The sequence below is a fragment of the Homo sapiens genome, chromosome 6, assembly GCF_000001405.40.
Source record: "Homo sapiens chromosome 6, GRCh38.p14 Primary Assembly".
Classification (NCBI taxonomy): domain Eukaryota; kingdom Metazoa; phylum Chordata; class Mammalia; order Primates; family Hominidae; genus Homo; species Homo sapiens.
This window is the reverse complement of record NC_000006.12, coordinates 37500891-37519804: the sequence shown is the minus strand read 5'-3', so window position 1 is coordinate 37519804 and position 18914 is coordinate 37500891. Positions and strand designations below refer to the sequence as shown.

The following is an 18914-nucleotide window of genomic DNA, read 5'->3' as shown; positions in this document are numbered from 1 at the left end:
AGGGTACAGACTTCTACCTCTTTTATTCATGGCTTCATCCCTGTATCTAGAACAACATCCAGTGCATAGGAAGCACAAATATTTGTTGAATGAGTGAACTGGGGAGGCGAACACATGGATCAATCAGCAGCCGCCACACACCTACTCCAGTCAAGGAGGCAAACGCATGTGCTATAACTGTCAATACAGGCCTTTCTTTCTGCAAACATGGAGTGTTTACTATGTGCCAGGTAATGTGCTATGGGGTGGCTTGGGCACAACATAGGGATGAATGCGGCAAGGGCCCTATGGCAGAGACTACTGGTTGCCCCCATTCCACTCTCCCCTTCTTCCCTATTCCTGGAATTCTTGGCCAGGCACATAGCCATACAGAATAAAGACTAGATTTCTCAGCCTCTCTTGCAGCTAGACATAGCCCTTTCACTAAATTCAGACCAATACAGTGCGAAGTGTCAAGTGCTAGCTTCTGAAACTCCTTAAGGGATGGCTGGCACTCACTCTTCCCCCAGGTGACTGAAAAGTAGATGAAATGGCTGAAATTAAAGCAGCCACATTGGACTGTGAGGAGACGGAAGTCACCCCTCACAGAACAACAAGACAATAGGAGTCTGGGCCTCAGAGGACCATATCAAACCAAGCCACCAACCAGCCCCAGACTGCAGACTTTCGAAAGAAGAATAAAACTGCTAAATTGCATGAGCCAATATTTGGAGTTGTACTACTCATGACCTACAGCTCATGCTAAAGCTAACTGATACAGACGCATCACTAGAAGCTCACAATCCGCTGGGGGAGGCACACAAAGAAAGAGACCAACCCATCCATCAGAGTGTGGTGAGGATGTGTAGACACAGAGTATTGTGGGAGGAAACGCAGGGGAGGGAACAGTGGGAGGGGATCTAGGAAGACTTCCTGGAGGGAGTGATATCTACATCAAGTCCCGAAGAATGGGGAGGCCTTTGGTGGGAGGTGGAGGGAAAGGGAAGACAGTGCTATAACTGAGATAGATACATGCAGAGAGTTGGGGAGTTCGGCGGGGGGGGGGGGGGTAAATTTTATCCCAAGGGACTGAGAAAGATTTTTCCAAAGTGAGTGGAACAAAGCTCTGAATGATGAGAAAGACTTAGACAGGTTGGGAGGAAGAACGTTCCTGGGTAAGGAACAGCAAGTGCAAAGGCAAAGAGGCCACGACTGGACATGGCTAGAGTGTGGTGTGCTCAGGGAGGGGGTAGGAATGATGGCAGATGTTGGGGAGGACTTGGAACTATACTGGGTGCTTCATATTTTAAGTGTGTAACACGCATTAGCTGGCTTACCCTCACGACCCTCCGAGCTAAGTGCAGTACTATCATAGCCTCCTTACACAGATACAGAAACCAGGCACAGGGAGATTAGGCTGCTTGCTCAAGGATGCACGGCAGTGCCCAGCAGGGCTAGGAGTGGAGCCTGGGCAGTGGGACTCCTCAGCCTGCATGCTCCACTCTCACAAGGCAGCGGGGTTTGAGGGCACCCACCGCCCCTTCCCTCTCCTGACCTGAGCACCCATGTCCACACCCAGCATCCTCCAAGGCCTCCTGTTCATCCATGCTGGCTTGTAGACCTATCAGGAGGTTTTAATATTGGACATGGAGGGAAAGGGAAACATAACAGCACCAGGGAGGCCCAGGGAAGTCCAGAGCAGCCAAAGAGAAAGGCGGATCTGAAAAGGGAAGCCTTGGGTTTACTCAGACATGGCCCTCTTTTCATTTCAGGGATGAGAGTTCCGTCAGGAAGCATCACATCACCCATCTTACATGTGTGATAAGGAGGTAGCAACTAATTATATACTAATGTGTTTCTTACATTGTCTCGTCTATAACCCTCACATCAGTCCTATGAGGCTGACAAGCTGACTCTCACTTTATGGATGAGATGAAGCACAGAAAGGGTAAGTAACTTGCCTGAGATTGCCCAGCTCATAAATGAGGGAGCCAGGATTCACGCCAGGTCTGCCTCATGCCAAGTCCACATTCATAGCCACCTCGCTCTTACAAGTCCTCAGGCAAGGCTCTTTCTACATCCGTGACAGAATTCTGTTCTGACACTGCGGCCTCCTCTCGCTTCTCCTCCCCTCCCCTCCATCCTGCTGCCACAATCTGTAGTCAGCATATGCCTCAGAAAGGCGACAAAGCCACAGACGTGTCCTCAGAGGTTTTTAAAAAAAATGTAGCATTATTATGCAAGAGCTGAGAGAATTGTTGCTAGAAACACCCCTCGCCTTACTTAATCCTGGCACGTTGGAAAACCCATCCGAAGACATGAATCTGAGCCTCTGGGGCACCGAAGACCTTGGACTGGTTTTCTCCTCCATCCCCTGCCTCTGGAAGGAGGCCTCTTAAATACGATCTGAGACAGAGAAGGGCCTCTCCTGAGAAGACATCTGTTACCCTTGCTCTATAGGGAGAGGCCCAAACCAGGAGTGCCCAGTTGCACAACTCCAGGGGCGCCATTCCCACACGGTACCGCGTGCCTGTGTCCTGCAGCTGCTGCAGGCAGCCTCCCTCCTCCCCGACTGCCCTCAGTCTCTCCAGTGCCCCATGGCCCAGTCCATCCTCCGGGAGTTTTGCACTGTCTCTAGGTCTGCCCGCTGCAGGCCTTGTGGCATCTTAAGCTCAAACCTGAGTCTGACGGATGGCTGGATGCTGGGCGGCACAGCGCGTCTGGAGTCCTTCCCGGGAGAAGCCCCAAGTACAGCCCAGTAAATCAATAAACAAATTAATAAGCAAATACTGCTGTCTGCTGAGCTGAACTAGGACTCCCGGGTGAACAGATTTAAAAATCAACAACAGACGGCCACAGGGCATGCCTGGACCGGGCACCATACCTTCGTGGAATTTTCAGAGGCTCCATCCCCCAGCCCATCACTCTCAGGACTAGAAACACGGTGGTGCGGGGGTGGGGGGACTCCTGATTTGGGGCTGGCAGGGAGCAGCACGGGACAGGCTGTTGTCTGGGAAAACCCCCCCGCCAGCTTCGACTCTCCCTCACTTGCTCTAGTCTGCTGCTTCCTGCCAAGAGGAGGGCTTGGTGCACTGCTGGCAGGACCTTTGATCTGGGTACCACAGATCATGATGTGACCAAGGAGCCTCAGTCACGTGGGGCACCAGTTAAGGGGGTTGGCCCTTCCTAGCTGACTCCCAGCCACACTGCAGCAGCTTCTGTTCACTTCTCAGCGGGCTGCAGAGGCAGGGAGGGGGAGGCCAGGTGGCACAGGACTGACCCCAGTGGATGCCACCTCATCACCCTGTTGGTGAGAGAGCAGGCAAGCAGGGCACATGGGCCTGGGGAAGACCACAAGGCCAGGTCCTCCAGGCAGGGAGGCTCTGGCAGAAACCTCTGTGCCAACCCCCTCCTTCCTGTCCCCGAATGCAGAGGCCTGCCCCTCCCCGCCCCAGTGCCCAGGAGGCCAGGGTCAGGAAGCAAACAGAAATGCCTGCATGCCTGCAAATAGACTCCAACCGATCTCAGGAGAATTTCCAGCCAGCAGGCCTGTGGCGCCCTTTGCTGAAAGGGCCTTCTGAATGCCCGAGTCTTCTCTTTTGTGCTCACAAATGCCACCCAATCGCAGCGGCCGCGAAGCTGCATAAATAAGGCAGAGAGAGTGTCTGCCTGGGGCGCTGGCCTCTGGGCTGCCTGCCAGGGCTGTCAGGCCGCCCAGACTTCAATACCAACAGACTTAAGGGACAAGAAAACAGCTCAGGTAAAGGCTTGGAAGCTCAGGAGGGAAGTGACCTGTCTTGTGAGGCGACGGAGATCAGTCTGCTCAGGGCCTTCTGATGCTAGGCTGTCGCTAGGCCCATGACCCGCAGGCTCTCCCCCACCGGGTGGGCACGAATGGTGCCCAGCAGCTGGGGAAGCAGGCCTCTCAAGCGTCACCCTGCTGCATCCCATATCTCATGCTGCTGATGAGCCAGGGTCCACACTTTCTTTTCCAGCCCACAGGGAGGGGGCTCATCAGGCTGCTAGAGCTCTCAGCAAACACTGCAGAAAGAAGGGAGGATGCTGCCGGGCATGGTGGCTCACGCCTGTAATCCCAGCACTGTGAGAGGCCAAGGCAGGCAGAACACTTGAGCCCAGGAGTTCGAGACCAGTCTGGTCAACAAGGCAAAACCCCGTCTCTACTAAAAATACAAAAATTAGCCGGGCTTGGTGGTGTGCACTATAGTCCCAGCTACCCGGGAGGCTGAGGCAGGAGAATTGCTTGAACCTGGGAGGCAGAGGTTGCAGTGAGCTGAGATCGTGCCATGGCACTCTAGCCTGGGCAACAGAGTGAGACTCTATCTCAAAAAAAAAAAAAAAAAAAAAAGCAAGGGAAGATGCCAGCCAGCCCCAAACACCCCAGGACGCTTGGAGAATTCTGGCCATGAAACTCACCTGCTGGGAAACTCTGGTGACCCACTAGGCCCACAGAACATTGTCAAGACCTTTGAGAACATTCTAACGTTCCTCCACAGAGTCTAGCAGTCATTGGTATATGCTGTGTCCCAAAGCACCTTTGAGGAAGGTGTCAGGTGGTGACACTGAGGAAGACAGATATGGTTCCTGCCTTCCCGGAGTTGCAGTGAGGGAATCCGGGCTCTCAGATTCACAAGGCGGAGTGTGGTTTTGCTGGGCCTGGAAGGCTATGGTGCATCTCATGGGCTGGGGCAGCAACTCATTGCAGGTGGTGGGGAGGGAGAGAGAGAAGGAAGCCAGCCTGCTGGGGGTTGTCTGGGCAAACAGAAACCTCTCCCTCTCCCGCCTCCAGGCTGGCCGGGAGAAAGGCGCAGCCCCAGGCCCTGAGTCTGCCTCCCAGGCTGCCTGCCCTAGGGCACTGCTCATTAATTACCACAGTGCCGCCAAGATAGCCCTGGCCTGGACTCAGTCCCACACCAATTGCCATGTGAGAGGAAAAGAACTGGAATTTGGGGAAAATGACAGAGAAAAAAGAGATCGGCTTCAAGGGAACAGGCCCTGAGTGTAACTTTCTTTCTGGCCCTGGGGAAGACAAGAAGCTGCACAATGTGGATTGGAGCACAGGTCCTGGGGCAAGTCCTGGCTCTCCTCTACATGCTGTGTGGCTTTGGGTGAGTCACTTGACCTCTCTGTGCTTCAGTGTCCTTGTTTGTAAAATGAAAGTAAAGACAATACCAGTGTTCACAAGGCTGTTGTGAGGATTAAATGAGTGAATGCATATTCAGTGCTTAGAGCTGCTCCCAGCACATACGAAGAGCTATATACGTGTGACTCATGATTACTCTCAGCGAACAAGGTGGCTGGGCCTCCCCAGGGAGGCAGGCACTCTGGGCTGGACCACTTCAGCCTTGTAGGGATGGGCTAAGAGGAGTGAGAAGAAAAGACAGTGAGGGAGGTAGCCCTGGAGCTACAGGCAGCCCCACCTCCTGGATGAACAATGGAAGAAAAGGGAACCCACTGGTCCCAGATCGGTGTGCAGTGTGACACGGCCACATGCACCTTTTACATGTGTATACACTCATATAATCACCATGCAGATCAAGATAATGTTCCCATCACCCCAGAGTGCTCCTTCAGGGCACTGGCCTTTGAACATGGTGTTCCTCAAAGCAGGAAAAATACACCCCCACGGGGCATGAAAGAATCTATTGGGGGCAGAAGAAATGGAATAGAACTTCCACTTCTATCTATTTTACCACATGCTTTTCAACGCCCCTTTTTCTGTATACTTTATAATGCACATATTAGCACAATTGCACATTTAGAATTTACTAATAAATAAGTGTACATTTGCTAGGGATACACGCTGAGTATCTCCTGCTTACCCTTGGTTCTTCACCTCCTCCACCCTGCTCTGAGGCTGCCCTGCGTGGTCCCCATCACTCGGGCTCCCTGCCCGCAGGTGTCAGGTAGGATTTGGCTAAGGGGAGGCTCGGGAGATCAGAGGACACTGGCAAAGTGCAGTTGGGGAATTGATTCCACCGCTCCATCCCTGCAGGGCACTGCAGGCAACTCTTTCCTGGAAGCTGCTTACAAGTTGACTCTCTCCTTCCAAATTTGGCTCAGCACCCCCTCCCCTCGTGGTGGTCACAGCCCTGCGGCAGCCAGCCCCTGCTTACTGCACTGTCCCTCCCGGCTCCCCTGCACTCGCACCTTTATAAAGAGTCCTTTGTGAAGAAATCTGCTCGTATTACCCTAATTTAAAAGTGGCATCTGTCTCCTGCTGAGACCCTGACCTGATACGCAGCACATCCTCAAAAATATTCTACCCACTGGGGTGTGTGATCCAAGTATTTGGAGATGACTGTTAGTGCACTGGATGGTCCCCATTGGTGGTTCAGGGGGCTTCCCCTTCCCAAGGGAGAAGTGGAAGGAGCCGCCTTCAGCGTTTGCGCTCAGTTCCATGCTGGGAAGCAGCAAGCACCAAGATGGTTAGCGGAGTTTACTGAGCTCCTGCCTGTACCTCGCCAAGGGGTGCCTCCATTCCAGGAGAAGGATGCCCAGGAAGTGGCGGCAGTGCCCTCCTACCCACAGAGCCTGCTGTCTCAGTCCCTGTTTCCTGTCTGGGGATTCGGCTCTTCCTCAAGGGGCCAGCACTGGATTCATGCAGGGTGCTGGTAGCACCGTGATGGCAGCCTCACCCTGAGTAACGTGAGGAGACTTGAATAAAGGGTCTCTACAAAGATGGAGGCAGGGTTTAAGGAAACCAACATGGGGAGCCTCAGAACCTTAGGGCTAGCAAGAGTGGGGAGCCCCCTCTGAGAGTAGCTGCATGAGAGCAGCTGCAAGCAGGGTCAGAGGGACACAGCCACCCTGTGGTGACCTTGCGGGGAGGGAGCTGGGGTAATAAATTCCCTGTCCTCAGTCTCCTCCCTTCCTCCAAACCCAGCTGCAAGCCAGAGGACAAGGGAGCCCTTGGATGCAGAGAAGTCAGCATTCCAGGCCAAGAAGGAGGGGGAGCCAGGTGTGGAAAGGGGAGTACACGTCGGACGGGACAAAGGGAAGTTTTCCTGGATGCACTGCAAATGACCTCTGTGCCACAAAGGCCTGGCCCCTACCCACAGGGCTGCTCAGGTGCTCACGGATAACCACATCCCACCTCCACACAACTTCCCTACAGGAATGAGAGCAGAGGGACTGAGCAGTGAGGAAAGGCGGGAGGAGGCTGGAGGAGTGAGCTTCGGAGGATCAAGGTGTGCTTGGAATGTCAGATGAAGAAGTCTGAACTTTCCCCGCAGGCAGAGCCGTGTAAAGCAGACGAGCAGTGTTCTGGCTAAAGCCAGGCCTGAGCAGGTGACCTCGTGGAGGGGATGCAGGCAGGAGGTGGAAGGAGAGCTCTCTGATTCCTTACTCAGCTCAAAGAGAGGAGGCAGGGAGACAGGAGGCCACTGATAACAAACACCGATGCCTCCAGCGAGACATTTAGGAAGAGCCCCCTGAGCCTTTGTTCACTGCCATACACACAGCTCAGCTCAGGCTCTGACTTCCCCTCCGGAGCAGAGGCTTCTGCTGTTGAAGGCTCTGAACTAGCTGGGAAGACGCAGCTAGCAGAGAAGGGTACGAGGGAGGTCTCTCTCCCTCAGCCCCGAGGAACTCAGCGCCGGCTCTGACCCGCTGTGCCTCCGACTGACTGTGCAGCTCTAGGCAGGCTCCTGCCTTTCTCGGGGAGGCAGTGTGCTCATCTGGAAAGCGGCAATAAAGCACCCACTTGCCAGGGTTCTTGGAGGGTGGAATGTGACAGCACAGGTGAAAGCGTGTGTTTCCCATCAGAAGAAACGCGGGGATTGGGGGGGTAGGCAAGTGCCACTTGGTGGGAAGCCCAAAAGAAACGCTAGTCGCTGCACATGTCTCATGGAAATGACAGCACATTTCCCTCTCCCCATGAGGGTTTACTGAGCATCAGTGGGGGCCCTCGCCCTGTGGGCTTCTTGGCACACAGGAGGAGATGGGGGTCTGCTCTTGTAGGCCGGAAGTGGGGCTGCAGACAAAACACACACACAAAACAATGTGAGAACTCTATGAGGCTGCATTCATCGTTGGGCTGAGTGGAACAGTACAGGTTTCAGTGTATAGGAATCCCAAAAAGGGGGAAATTGGTCGGACGAGGGAGGGAGTTTAGCTAAGCAGGACTGGAGAGGTCAGAATTCCATGACAGGAGTCGCCCAGGTAAAGGCAGGTGCTGGGAGCAGGAACATGGCAGAGGAGGGAGGTGGGCAGGAGGCAGCCCTCTCTCCACCAGCGAGAGCTGGCCGGGAAGGGCTGGATATAAGTCCTGGGGTCCATGCTCTTCCACACCACACCATGTGTGTTGATAACCAAAGACATGGAGACCTCACCCCAGAGGAGCCTCTCAAAGCCCTCGCCCATCTTGTGACTTTCTTTTGCCTCCTCTGAGCCAAGCCCCATCCCTGAATCAGGCCAGACAGCTGCTTTCATCCTCCAGGCGGCTGAGATCAGCAACAGAAAGTGACACCTTCCTGTCAGTTCTGGAGTTCCTATAAATTCATTCATTCAGCAAATATTTAGTGAACATTTCCTATTATCCTTCACTACGCTAGGCCCTGGGGATCCATCAGTGAGGAGAAGGAGCTACATTCTAGTAGAGGAAGACAATAAGCAAAACAAATAAGCAAAATATACAGGAAATGCTATCGAGAAAAAGCAAGGGGAATAAGGGAAATTCAGAGGGGATTCAATTTAAAGACAGTAGCCAGGGAGGGCCTCGTGGAGAAGGCAACTTTTGAGTGAAGACTGGAAGGAGGGGATGGAGGGAGCCATGTAGGCTTCAGGAGGGAGGGCATGCCAGGGCCAGGAGTAGGGTGAGAGAGTGAGGCACCTCAGGGACAAATGTTAAGGAGGTGTTCCCTCTAGGGTCGTGTTGCAGCCCTGCTCCCCACCACCCTCCCTATTGCAACAAGGCTGACTGTTCTCAAACGCAAATCTGATCACGATGGTGCAAAAGCGCAGAGCTGCCCAAGGGGTTCCCTTGGCCAAGGTATGAAATCAGACTCCTTAGAATGGCCCAAAGACCCAGCTGTCCTCCCAGTCTCCTCTCTCCATTCCCTCCTCCCTGTGCACACCATGCCTCGTCTTTCTCATGCCTCCACCCTTGCAACCTGGAGCCTGGGCCTGGAACACCCTTCCCCTACCTCTGTGTTCTCCTACCTCTTCTAACTTTTTTTTCTATTAATATTATAAATATTTAGGACCGACATAAAAGGTATAAATAACAATAAAATTAATTTCCATGCACTACCATCTCCACCCAGCTTAAGAAAGAAAACATTACCCATGCAACAGAGCCCCCCTGGGCACCTCCCCCAGGCACATCTGTCTCTCCAGTAACTGGGGCCGTCACTACCTTGCTTTTTATATTTACCATTAGTACAGCACAGGTTTGAAAGTTAGCCGTGCTGTGGTTTGAATATTTGTCTCCTCCAAAACTCATGTTGAAAAATTAATTAACATTGTAACAATATTAAGAGGTGGGGTCTTTAAGGGGTGATTGGGCCATGAGGGCTCCACCCTCATGTGTGGGTTCATGCCATTATAAAAGGGCAGATTCAACCCCCTCTGGCTCTCTTTTGCCATTCCGCTTTTCACCATGCAAAGACTAAGCCTTCCTCGCCTCTGGAGGTCACAGCATTCAAGGCGCCATCTTGAAATCAGAACTACCAAATCTGCTGGCATCTTCATATTGGATTTCCCAGCCTCCAGAACTGCAAGCCAATACATTTCTTTTCTTAAATTCCCCAGTCTGTGGTATTCTGTTATCGCAGCACAAAGGGACTAAGACAAGCAGTATGTAGCACCGTTTTGAATATTTTGAATGTTTTTGAACTTTAAGTGAATGGGATCCTCTGGTTTACATTCCTCTGCAACTTGTCTTTTCGTGTAACATTATGTTTGTGAGATTTATCCATGTTGATATGCGTAGATCTAGATCAGAGCTCGGTAAAGTTTTCTGGAAAGGGACAGATTTTTCATATTTTAAGCTTTGTGGGCCCAACAGTCTGTTGCAGCTGCTCAACTCTGCCATTACAGTGCGAAAGCAGATACAGACAATATGTAAATGAATGAATGTGGCCACATTCCAAAACAACCTCGTTTACAAAAACAGGCAGCAAGCTGGATTTGGTCCATGGGCCATAGTTTGCCGATCTAGGCCATTTGTTTTCATTGCTGTGTAATATTTCATTGTATGACTACACCACAGTTTATTGATCCATTCTTCTATTCATGGTTTGGTTGAATTATCACTCCCAATTCTTTACTCCAGGACTATATAGGACTATACACTCAAACCCTTTGATGTACAGAGTAGATGGAGAATATATCCCCATCCCATTGACTTGGGGTTTGGCCTAATGGAATTTAACCGGGCAAATGCTAAAGAATGTGATGCAAAAGGAGAGTTTTTTTGTTGTTCTTGTTGTTTTGAGACGGAGTCTCACTCGGCTCACTGCAACCTCCGCCTCCCGGGTTTAAGCAATTCTCCTGCCTCAGACTCCTGGGTAGCTGGGACTACAGAGGTGTGCCACCACACCTGGCTAATTTTTGTATTTTTAGTAGAGAAGGGGTTTCACGGTGTTGTCCAGGCTGGTCTTGAACTCCTGACCTCGTAATCTGCCTGCTTCAGCCTCCCAAAGTGCTGGGATTACAGGCGTGAGCCACTGCGCCTGGCCACAAATGGAGGTTTTTAATGTGCTTTTATGGTTTAGTTTGGCATCTTGCGGTCCTGCCATTTGCCATAGAAGAGCATGTTCCCAGTAAGCTGTTGTCTCTTCAGCCTGAGTCCCCAAATGAGAGCTACTTGTAGCCAATGTGAACGTGAGTTCACCCCAGCTCACCTGCACTCCTGTGTGCAAGAAATAAATGTTTGTCATTATAAGCCAATGATATTCTTAGGATTGTTTGTTACACAGCTTTATTGCAGCAGCAGCTAATGAATACAATGGACATTTACGTTTTTGATTCTTCGCTGTTGCAACAAAGTTCACGCTCATATACCTCAACTGGTGCACAAATGCATCTTCAACTTTGCTAGTTAATGCTGATTTGCTTTCCAGACTTTTGTACCCACTTGGTTTTGTCAGGTGTCTGCTGATCTGTGGGTGTAAAATTCCATTGCCCATCTAACTCTTACTCATCTTTCTCTTCCTCTGGGCCTCCTTCCCTAATGCCCCCATCTGAACTGGGTCCATATACTCATTGCATCCATAGCTCCTTACACTTGCCTCTCTCACAGTCCTGGTATTGTATTTATCTGTTAATCTGTCACCATACAGACAGCCCCTGTCCCCCAGCCCAGGCACTTAGCAAATAATTGTTGAATGAAAGTTTCATGAGAAACTTCAATCAAGCTGGTCAGCTCCTGTCCTAGGGAATGTATACGCTGAGACAACTACCTTATCACAGGTACAGCCTTCATATCAAGGTGTGTCAAAGGACAGAGACTGATTGCTTTTCATGTGGTTATCACACTTGGGCTTTGAATGTGACTTGTTTTTTGCTGAAAATGTAATCATTCCAGGCTGCAATTACAGTAGCTAGAGAGATGTGAGTGAAAGCTAAACACTAAGGGTCTAAGAAGGTTTTGTGGGCAAATGCCATCTTTAAAAAGCAGGTTACTCACATAATAAATAGCTTGCATTGCTGCACACTGCTCTAAGCACTTTACACATACAAGATAAATATCAGAGGAGGAAACTGAGAAAAGCAACCTGCCCTGGGTGCGCAGCTGGTGAAGGCCTCACTGTAGCCACCATCCCCCACCCCAAGGTAATTGCGTTAGAGAACAAAGAACTTGACACCTGCCAGAACTACCCCCACCCCCACCACCACCTACCCCCAGCCCCAGCACCACCTACCCCGACCCCCACCCACCACCACCACCTACCCCCACCACCACCACCTACCCTCACCCACCACCACCTACCCCCACCACCACCACCTACCCCCAACCCCCAACACCACCTACCCACACCCCTACCCCCACCCCCCACCACCTACCCCTACCCCCACCCCCACCACCACCTACCCCCACCCCACCACCACCTACCCCCATCCCCATCACCATCTACCCCCACCCCCCACCACCACCTACCTCCAACCTTTGGATGGCATGAGTCTGGTGCATCTAAGGTCACATTTAAAGAACAGAGTTCTGAAAAATCCATGGGAAGACGTCTTTGCTGCCAGTCAGCATGATAGAAAAACATGGGTCTTGGAGCCGGGAGGCAGGTTTTAATCCAAACTTGGCCACAATCTTAATTTAGATTATTTTGGTTGTAAGGAAAAGAAATCAATAACTTTAATAACTTCAAAACTCCCAAAATGAAGCGGAGAGATGTGTTGTAAGGAATGGGTGGTGCTCTCGAAGGACAATCAAGGGTTGGAACCAAGAATTGGACCATTGATATAACCATGCTGTCATTCTGTCCCCTTCCTCCCTGGGCTAACTATGATCAGCATCTCATCCTAGGGTCAGATTCCTGGGAGTTAAAATCTGATTGGCCCAGCTTTGGTCAGGTGTGTTCCTCTGATCGAATCAGCTGTGACTGGGTAGGTGGGATCACACAAACCTCAGGAAAGGGGGCCTATTGTGAGCTAGGCAGATATTCTCTAGAAGGTGCCTAACGCAGTTACTAATTCACAGTAGACCTTAGGGAAGATACCTTCCTTCCCAGACTCGCAGTTCTCATCTGTAAATGAGAGATTTGATCTGTGTCTGGCTCATCATTACATCTACTATGCCTGTTTAATAAAGGCTGAGTGGACTACAGTGATCCCTATATTAGCTTCTGGTTCTGACCGTCTGTCTTTTAGAATTCTCATATGTAAAGTGTGCGGGTACAAGGAGCTGGCAGCGAGGGAGAAGACGGGGAGAAGGAGGGTGTGCTGACACTGGCCAGGGGTGCCTGGGGACTTCAGCTTAAGCAGTCTTTTCTCTGGACATCTTTCCAGAGCCAATCTTCTGTCCCCACCAAGCAGCATTCTGGCCAGAATCTGACTTCTCTAATAAACACTGTCCCTGGAGGGACAGTGCCCTTTATAAGCTATTAAATTGGCCTTCTGACAGTTGCCAACACAATGCCATTTGAGAAGCAAAGTCCAAAGTGGGGGGACTCCGGATTTGATTCTGGTGTCCAGAATCCAGACTCTTCCACTTATTACGTGACCTAGTGGGTCACGGCCCTCTAAGCATCACAGTCTTCGCTGCCCAGACAGATATGAGAATCTGTGTTCTGCCTTATTCATAGAACTGTTTGAGGGATATTGTGTATAAAATTATCCATAATAATTGAACTATATTTGTGGTGTGCTAACTAGATGCCAGGCATAGCGTCATATGCTGAAAAGGGTTATTATGTATAATCCTCACAAGAGCCTTATGAAGTAGCTGCTACTATGATCTCTGTTTCACAGATGAAGAAACTGAGGCTCAGAGGTTAAATAACTTGCCCAAGGTCACACAGTTGATGAAGAGCAGAGTCAGATCCACGCTCTGAACTAGGTTCTAGTACTTTTGTTTGTGGTCCAGTTGTAGATAGACACATTATTATTATTACTTCCCAGGGCCTAAGACCTCTCGGATAAGCTGAACATTGAGACCCACAGAGGTGGGAAACCAAAACTTGGACACCAGAGAAGCAAACTTCTGGGTTTATTCCTTCAGTCTAAAAACTACATGAATCAAAAAATCTGTGGGCTGTAAATGAAGTAACTCAGATCAAATTAGCTCACTCAAAAGAGGGAATTTGTTGGCCTCCACTCTCCGAGGGGCAAAAGTGAGGCTAGGGCACCTGGAATTCAAGTTTCAAACAAGCACCCCCAGGGCAGTCTTCCTCATTGTCTCTCATTGCTGCTGCCCTGTGCTGGCTGCCTGCCCTCTTTCATACTCCATGAGCTTCTTCTCAGGAAGAGAACACTGTTGCCAGCAGTTCCAGGATCACACGTCAGCTGCTCTGCAACCAAAGCTAAGGTGGGATTTCCTTTCCCAGCTACAGGTGAAACAAATCTCAGGAAAGGATTCTTATTGGCCTAGCTCAGATCATGAGTCCTCCCTTCTGAACTAATCACTATGGCTAGGGACATGTGGTTCTATGACTGGCTGCCCCGCTTAGATCATATGCCACCCATGTGAACAGTGGGAGTGGATCTGTTATAAGAAGGTGGGGTGGTTGGGGGAGATGGCAACACCGACGTGAACTCTGGGGGACTCTCTGAAGCCTGGGTCACCTCAATTTGTATCCTTTCCAACTGGCAAGAGCAACCTTGGTTTTCTCCTTCCTCAATCTATATCTACTAAGAAGTCACCTAATAGGCTGTTAGTTTCTTACTCTCGTTTTCTTCAGAAAGGCTCATATGGTCTTTTATACAGAGGGAGGGGGTGAGTATCCTCTTCTGCAAACTTTTCCATGTCTGGAAAATTGGGGCAATGGAGCCTGCCTTACTTTCCTCACAGAGGTATGTGAGGACCCACAGAGTTAATGGATACAAACACTGCTGTAGAAAGAACAAAGTGCCATATTTACAAACACAGGATCTATTTATTGATTTATTTATGCTCCTTTGTGTTTCAAAAAAGGATTTGAGGTAGCTTAGCAAAATGCACACAATATAGTGGGATAAAAATAGTAAGGGGATAGAGCGGAGGGAAAACACGGGTAGAAAAATCAAATAAAGCCAGGGAAAATTCTTGTACCTGGAAACTTATGCTCAAAGTCCCTGAACAAGTTTGGTTCTGAGCTTTCTCATGAACAAAGTGGGAAACATGATCAGTTACAAAAGATACAGTAGTCATAGGATAAGAGAATATCAGCATGCCAGGAAAGGCCACAGAGCTTAGCTCAGCACCAATGTCTGGTAGAAATTTCTTCTCATCAAGAGGATACCGCAGGGTGGGCCAGACTCGATGGTTCATGCCTGTAATCCCAGTACTTTGGGAGACCGAGGCAGGCAGATCATCTGAGGTCTGGAGTTCGAGACCGGCCTGGCCAACATGGTGAAACCCCGTCTCTACTAAAAATACAAAAATTAGCCAGGCGTGGTGGTGGGTGCCTGTAATCCCAGCTACTCGAGAGGCTGAAGCAGGAGAATCACTGGAACCCAGGAGGCGGAGGTTGCAGTAAGCTGAGATTGCACCAATGCACTCCAGCCTGGGTGACAGAGTGAGACAGAAAAAAAAAAAAAAAAAAAAAAGATGCTGCAGGGTGGAGTGGTCTGCATATTCAACAATATATAGAGATCCTTTGGTTTTCATGTCACTGGCTGTCTAATTCAGTTTCATGTGGATTCACTGTCTACAATTTGATTTACGTTAACTAAAAACTGGATACCAACTAAATAGCAAGCACATTCTTTTCCCCTTCCTTCCTTCCTTTTCTTTCTTTTTGCATGGTAACATGAGGTTGGGTGCAAGGAGTGGTATGTGAGTTTTCCCCAGTGAAATATATGGACAAAAAAGTTCTAGCATCTTGGCTTAGCTGAAATGTATAAAACTCACTAAGACATAAAACTGTTCCAAGCAGGCCATAAAGGCGCTGCTGCCTTTGCCTCAGAACTTGGGCTATAATCTGCTGTCCTGGAACAAAATGCAAACATAAATCAGCTTTCACAGTATTTTTAGCCACCTAAAAAATTCTTCATTTCCTGCCTGAAATGCTTCTGACAGTGAGCAATGCCACTCTCCCTCATTCTTGCTCTGAAAAGCTTCCCTTTGGGCAGCGATGGGGACCCAACACTGGGCCCCACAGCTGAGGCAAACCCAGAAGGAGGCATGGGATAGAGGAAATGGTCTCCCAGGGTCTCTAGGACAAATAAGTCAGGGATGTGGCTAGCGTATAAATTGCTTTCATGCAAAGTTGGAAAGGGCGCCCCTCCTTGGCACAGGAAGCCCTGTGGGTTCCCACTTGGGATGCCCTCTCCTGCATCTTTGCCTGACGCAATCTCATCTGTCCTCCTGGACCCAGAGCCTCCACAAAGCCATCCCCAAATACCCACCCCATTCTCTTGTTTCTGCACTCCTAATGCATCAACAGTGAGTACCAGACAGCTGGCATTTAATTATATGATGTCTGGCATGCACTATTTCATGTTGTCAGTCTGTCTCTCTAACTAGATTAAAGAGATCTTGAGGTAATCGTTAGTTCTTACTTTATATGTCTCCCTTACAGCTAACAAGGAAGCTTTATGTCTTCCTCGTTATGTCTTACAAATAACAAGGTCATGAAAAACAGGAACCTAGGGTGACTGTCTCGTTCTCCCCACTGTACCCATTGAGCAGACAAAATTAAGAGCCAAAGAGGAGGCTTGACCTGCCCAAGGTCATGCAGTGAGAACTTGGGCTAGCCAGGAACGACTCCAGTTCTCCTGTCTGTCAATGCAGCATTCGACTTTCCTGAAACACTTAGTTCTAAAACCCCCAATAGGAGGTTCAGAACCACAGCTCCCTGGGGTAATAAAGACAGACAGACAGACAGCTGGCCCACAGTAATCCATCTGCTCATGGGCAGAATTTCCAACATGGAGGCAAGTCAAGCTGCTCTAAGGCTCAGCAAACAGCCTCCATGGGAATCCAGGCTGGGTCTCTGTATGTGCCAGGGGGATGAAAGGACCTCAGTGGGGTACCTGGGGTGCTTGCATCCTCCCTGACACCACGCAGGTCACTATTGTCTGCGATGTCTGGGGCAAAGGAAACCCGTAATTGATGGTCTCAGCAGGAAGGACACATAGACAGGTGGAGAGGGCATCTCCTGTTTACAGAGAAACGCTTGTGTTTGCAAGGGGCTGCCTTTTTGCAGTGAACTATGCACCCATGATAGCAGGAAACCACCCAAGTATTTGCCCCAAATTTATAACAACAGATACAATAGTGTCAAAGCTGATAGAAACTGAAAACAAAATAATAACAAAAAATACCCATGGCAACAATTGCTAAACAAAACCCTATAACGACAAGCTGGCAGCAGCCTCATCAGTCCTGCTGAGCCTCTCCTAGGCACTCACAAGCCACAGCACCCGCCACTTAGTACTTCTCACAAATGCCCTATGAGTTTGGTATGATGTGCTTGTTTTATAGATGTGGAAGCTGAAGCTTACGGGGCTGAAGTATCTTGCCTCACATCACAGGCTGCTAAGAAGCAGAGCTGGGATTGGCATCCAGGTTGATCTCCCTCTAAAAGCCTCCCCTTTCACTACAACCCACATAGACTCTCATTCCAACCCCACTTCAAGCATTTCTTCCCATTATCAGACCTGTGGGACAAGGTTTGGTTGGGAAAACACGAGGCTCTTCAGGAAGACAGACAACAGATTGCCCATCATTTCATGGACAAGGGACCGACATGAGGCGCACCCAGATCTCTGTGGCTTTTTCTTGGTGCCAAACAAATGCAGAAGGAGTCACTTCTCAAAGAACACAGTGTTTTTCTTCCTCTTCTCACCTCTCCTGGGCCGGTGCCTGTGATAATTGGGAAGCACAGAGTCTGGTTTTTCCGGGATTGGAACCAATGCTGTGAAGAGTGTTCTGACAATAAATGTTGATTGACAGTTGATGGACAATGTTCTTGAATCAGTTTTTCCTGTGCTGGGTGTTAAGCTGAGAACTGCACTAAACAACTGCTCAACAACCTGCTTCCTGTTCAGATAGAATTTACTACACTCTCTCTCTGTGGGCCTCAGTCAGGCAGCCAGGCGAGATGGTATCTCAGACGCCTTCCAGCTCCATCACTCAATGTCTCTATCAAGAAGAGAACACAGATCTGAAAACATTTTTCCCCCTAACACTGAGTTGGGGTTATTATTCACATACAAAAACACAGGCACCAACAGAGATAACTGGTCAGGAAATAAGGAGCTTTGATTCTGGTCTCATACTCTTTGACCTAGTAATTCTACTTCTGTGAATTTATCTTAAAGAAAGAATCCAGAGGACAGAGCTGTGTGCACGAAAAGGTTTGCTTTCGCAATATTTGGAGTTACTGTCAATAAAATGATGTCCAATGCAAGAATGCGAGAGACTCCCTTGGTGGCACATGAGGCCACCGCAAGTGATAATTTCAAAGACACAGAAAAACATACTTGGCAGTGTTTTTCAAATTGCAGTTCAACCTCCATTAAGGGGTCATGAAATAAACCTAAGAGGTGTCCTGCCACCAACTTGTTTTTGTTTATTTTTTTGAGATGGAGTTTCGCTCTTTCACCCATGCTGGAGTGCAGTGGCACGATCTCGGCTCACTGCAACCTCCGCCTTCCAGTTTCAAGTGTTTCTCCTGCTTCAGCCTCCCGAGTAGTTGGGTTTACAGGCGCCCACCACCACGCCCAGCTAATTTTTGTATTTTTAGTAGAGACGGGCTTTCACCACGTTGGCCAGGCTGGTCTCAAATTACTGACCTCGTGATCTGCCCAGCCTCCCAAAGTGCTGGGATTGAGAGGTAAAGCCAGCTGGACTTCCTGGGTTGAGTGGGGACTTGGAGAACTTTTCTGTCTAGCTAGACAATTGTAAACGCACCAATCAGCGTTCTGTGTCTAGCTAAAGGATTGTAAATGCGCCAATCAGCACTCTGTAAAAACCCACCAATCAGCGCTCTGTGTCTAGCTAAAGGATTATAATGCACCAATAAGCACTCTGTGTCTACCTAGGGATTGTAAATGCACCAGTCAGTGCTCTGTAAAAACGCACCAATCAGCGCTCTGTGTCTAGCTAAAGGATTGTAAATGCACCAATCTGCACTCTGTAAAAATGCACCAATCAGCACTCTGTGTCTAGCTAAAGGACTGTAAATGCACCAATCAGCACTCTGTAAAATGGACCAGTCAGTGCTCTGTAACAGGGGACAAATAAGGGAATAAAAGCTGGCCATCCCCCAGTCAACAGTGGCAACCCACTCAGGTCCCCTTCCATGATGTGGGAGCTT

At 49.6% G+C, this 18914-nt stretch overlaps 1 long non-coding RNA gene across 1 annotated transcript in view, besides 7 other annotated features; it reads right to left on the bottom strand.

Moving 5' to 3' along the window:
• Positions 1-12457, bottom strand: part of LINC02520 (long intergenic non-protein coding RNA 2520) — a 28933-nt gene extending 16476 nt beyond the window's left edge. Inside the window, exon 1 of the long non-coding RNA NR_126057.1 lies at positions 12101-12457. This is a non-coding gene — a long non-coding RNA (long intergenic non-protein coding RNA 2520). The remainder of the gene's footprint in view (positions 1-12100) is intronic.
• Positions 75-246: a silencer, noted in NCBI's record as "fragment chr6:37487335-37487506 (GRCh37/hg19 assembly coordinates)". NCBI's record gives its function as "represses an EF-1alpha promoter that drives an FKBP-Casp9 reporter gene in an ReSE screen in HepG2 liver carcinoma cells {active_cell/tissue: HepG2}" and the evidence as "EXISTENCE:reporter gene assay evidence [ECO:0000049][PMID:32094911]".
• Positions 2521-2900: an enhancer, noted in NCBI's record as "active region_24462". NCBI's record gives its function as "activates an Ori minimal core promoter by ATAC-STARR-seq in GM12878 lymphoblastoid cells {active_cell/tissue: GM12878}" and the evidence as "EXISTENCE:reporter gene assay evidence [ECO:0000049][PMID:35858748]".
• Positions 2913-3697: an enhancer, noted in NCBI's record as "H3K4me1 hESC enhancer chr6:37483884-37484668 (GRCh37/hg19 assembly coordinates)". NCBI's record gives its function as "activates a minimal SCP1, AML or CMV promoter by ChIP-STARR-seq in primed H9 embryonic stem cells {active_cell/tissue: H9 hESC(primed)}" and the evidence as "EXISTENCE:reporter gene assay evidence [ECO:0000049][PMID:30033119]".
• Positions 2991-3040: an enhancer, noted in NCBI's record as "active region_24461". NCBI's record gives its function as "activates an Ori minimal core promoter by ATAC-STARR-seq in GM12878 lymphoblastoid cells {active_cell/tissue: GM12878}" and the evidence as "EXISTENCE:reporter gene assay evidence [ECO:0000049][PMID:35858748]".
• Positions 3698-4482: an enhancer, noted in NCBI's record as "H3K4me1 hESC enhancer chr6:37483099-37483883 (GRCh37/hg19 assembly coordinates)". NCBI's record gives its function as "activates a minimal SCP1, AML or CMV promoter by ChIP-STARR-seq in primed H9 embryonic stem cells {active_cell/tissue: H9 hESC(primed)}" and the evidence as "EXISTENCE:reporter gene assay evidence [ECO:0000049][PMID:30033119]".
• Positions 5753-6354: an enhancer, noted in NCBI's record as "H3K4me1 hESC enhancer chr6:37481227-37481828 (GRCh37/hg19 assembly coordinates)". NCBI's record gives its function as "activates a minimal SCP1, AML or CMV promoter by ChIP-STARR-seq in naive H9 embryonic stem cells {active_cell/tissue: H9 hESC(naive)}" and the evidence as "EXISTENCE:reporter gene assay evidence [ECO:0000049][PMID:30033119]".
• Positions 6355-6956: an enhancer, noted in NCBI's record as "H3K4me1 hESC enhancer chr6:37480625-37481226 (GRCh37/hg19 assembly coordinates)". NCBI's record gives its function as "activates a minimal SCP1, AML or CMV promoter by ChIP-STARR-seq in naive H9 embryonic stem cells {active_cell/tissue: H9 hESC(naive)}" and the evidence as "EXISTENCE:reporter gene assay evidence [ECO:0000049][PMID:30033119]".
• Positions 12458-18914: the final 6457 nt, after the last annotated feature.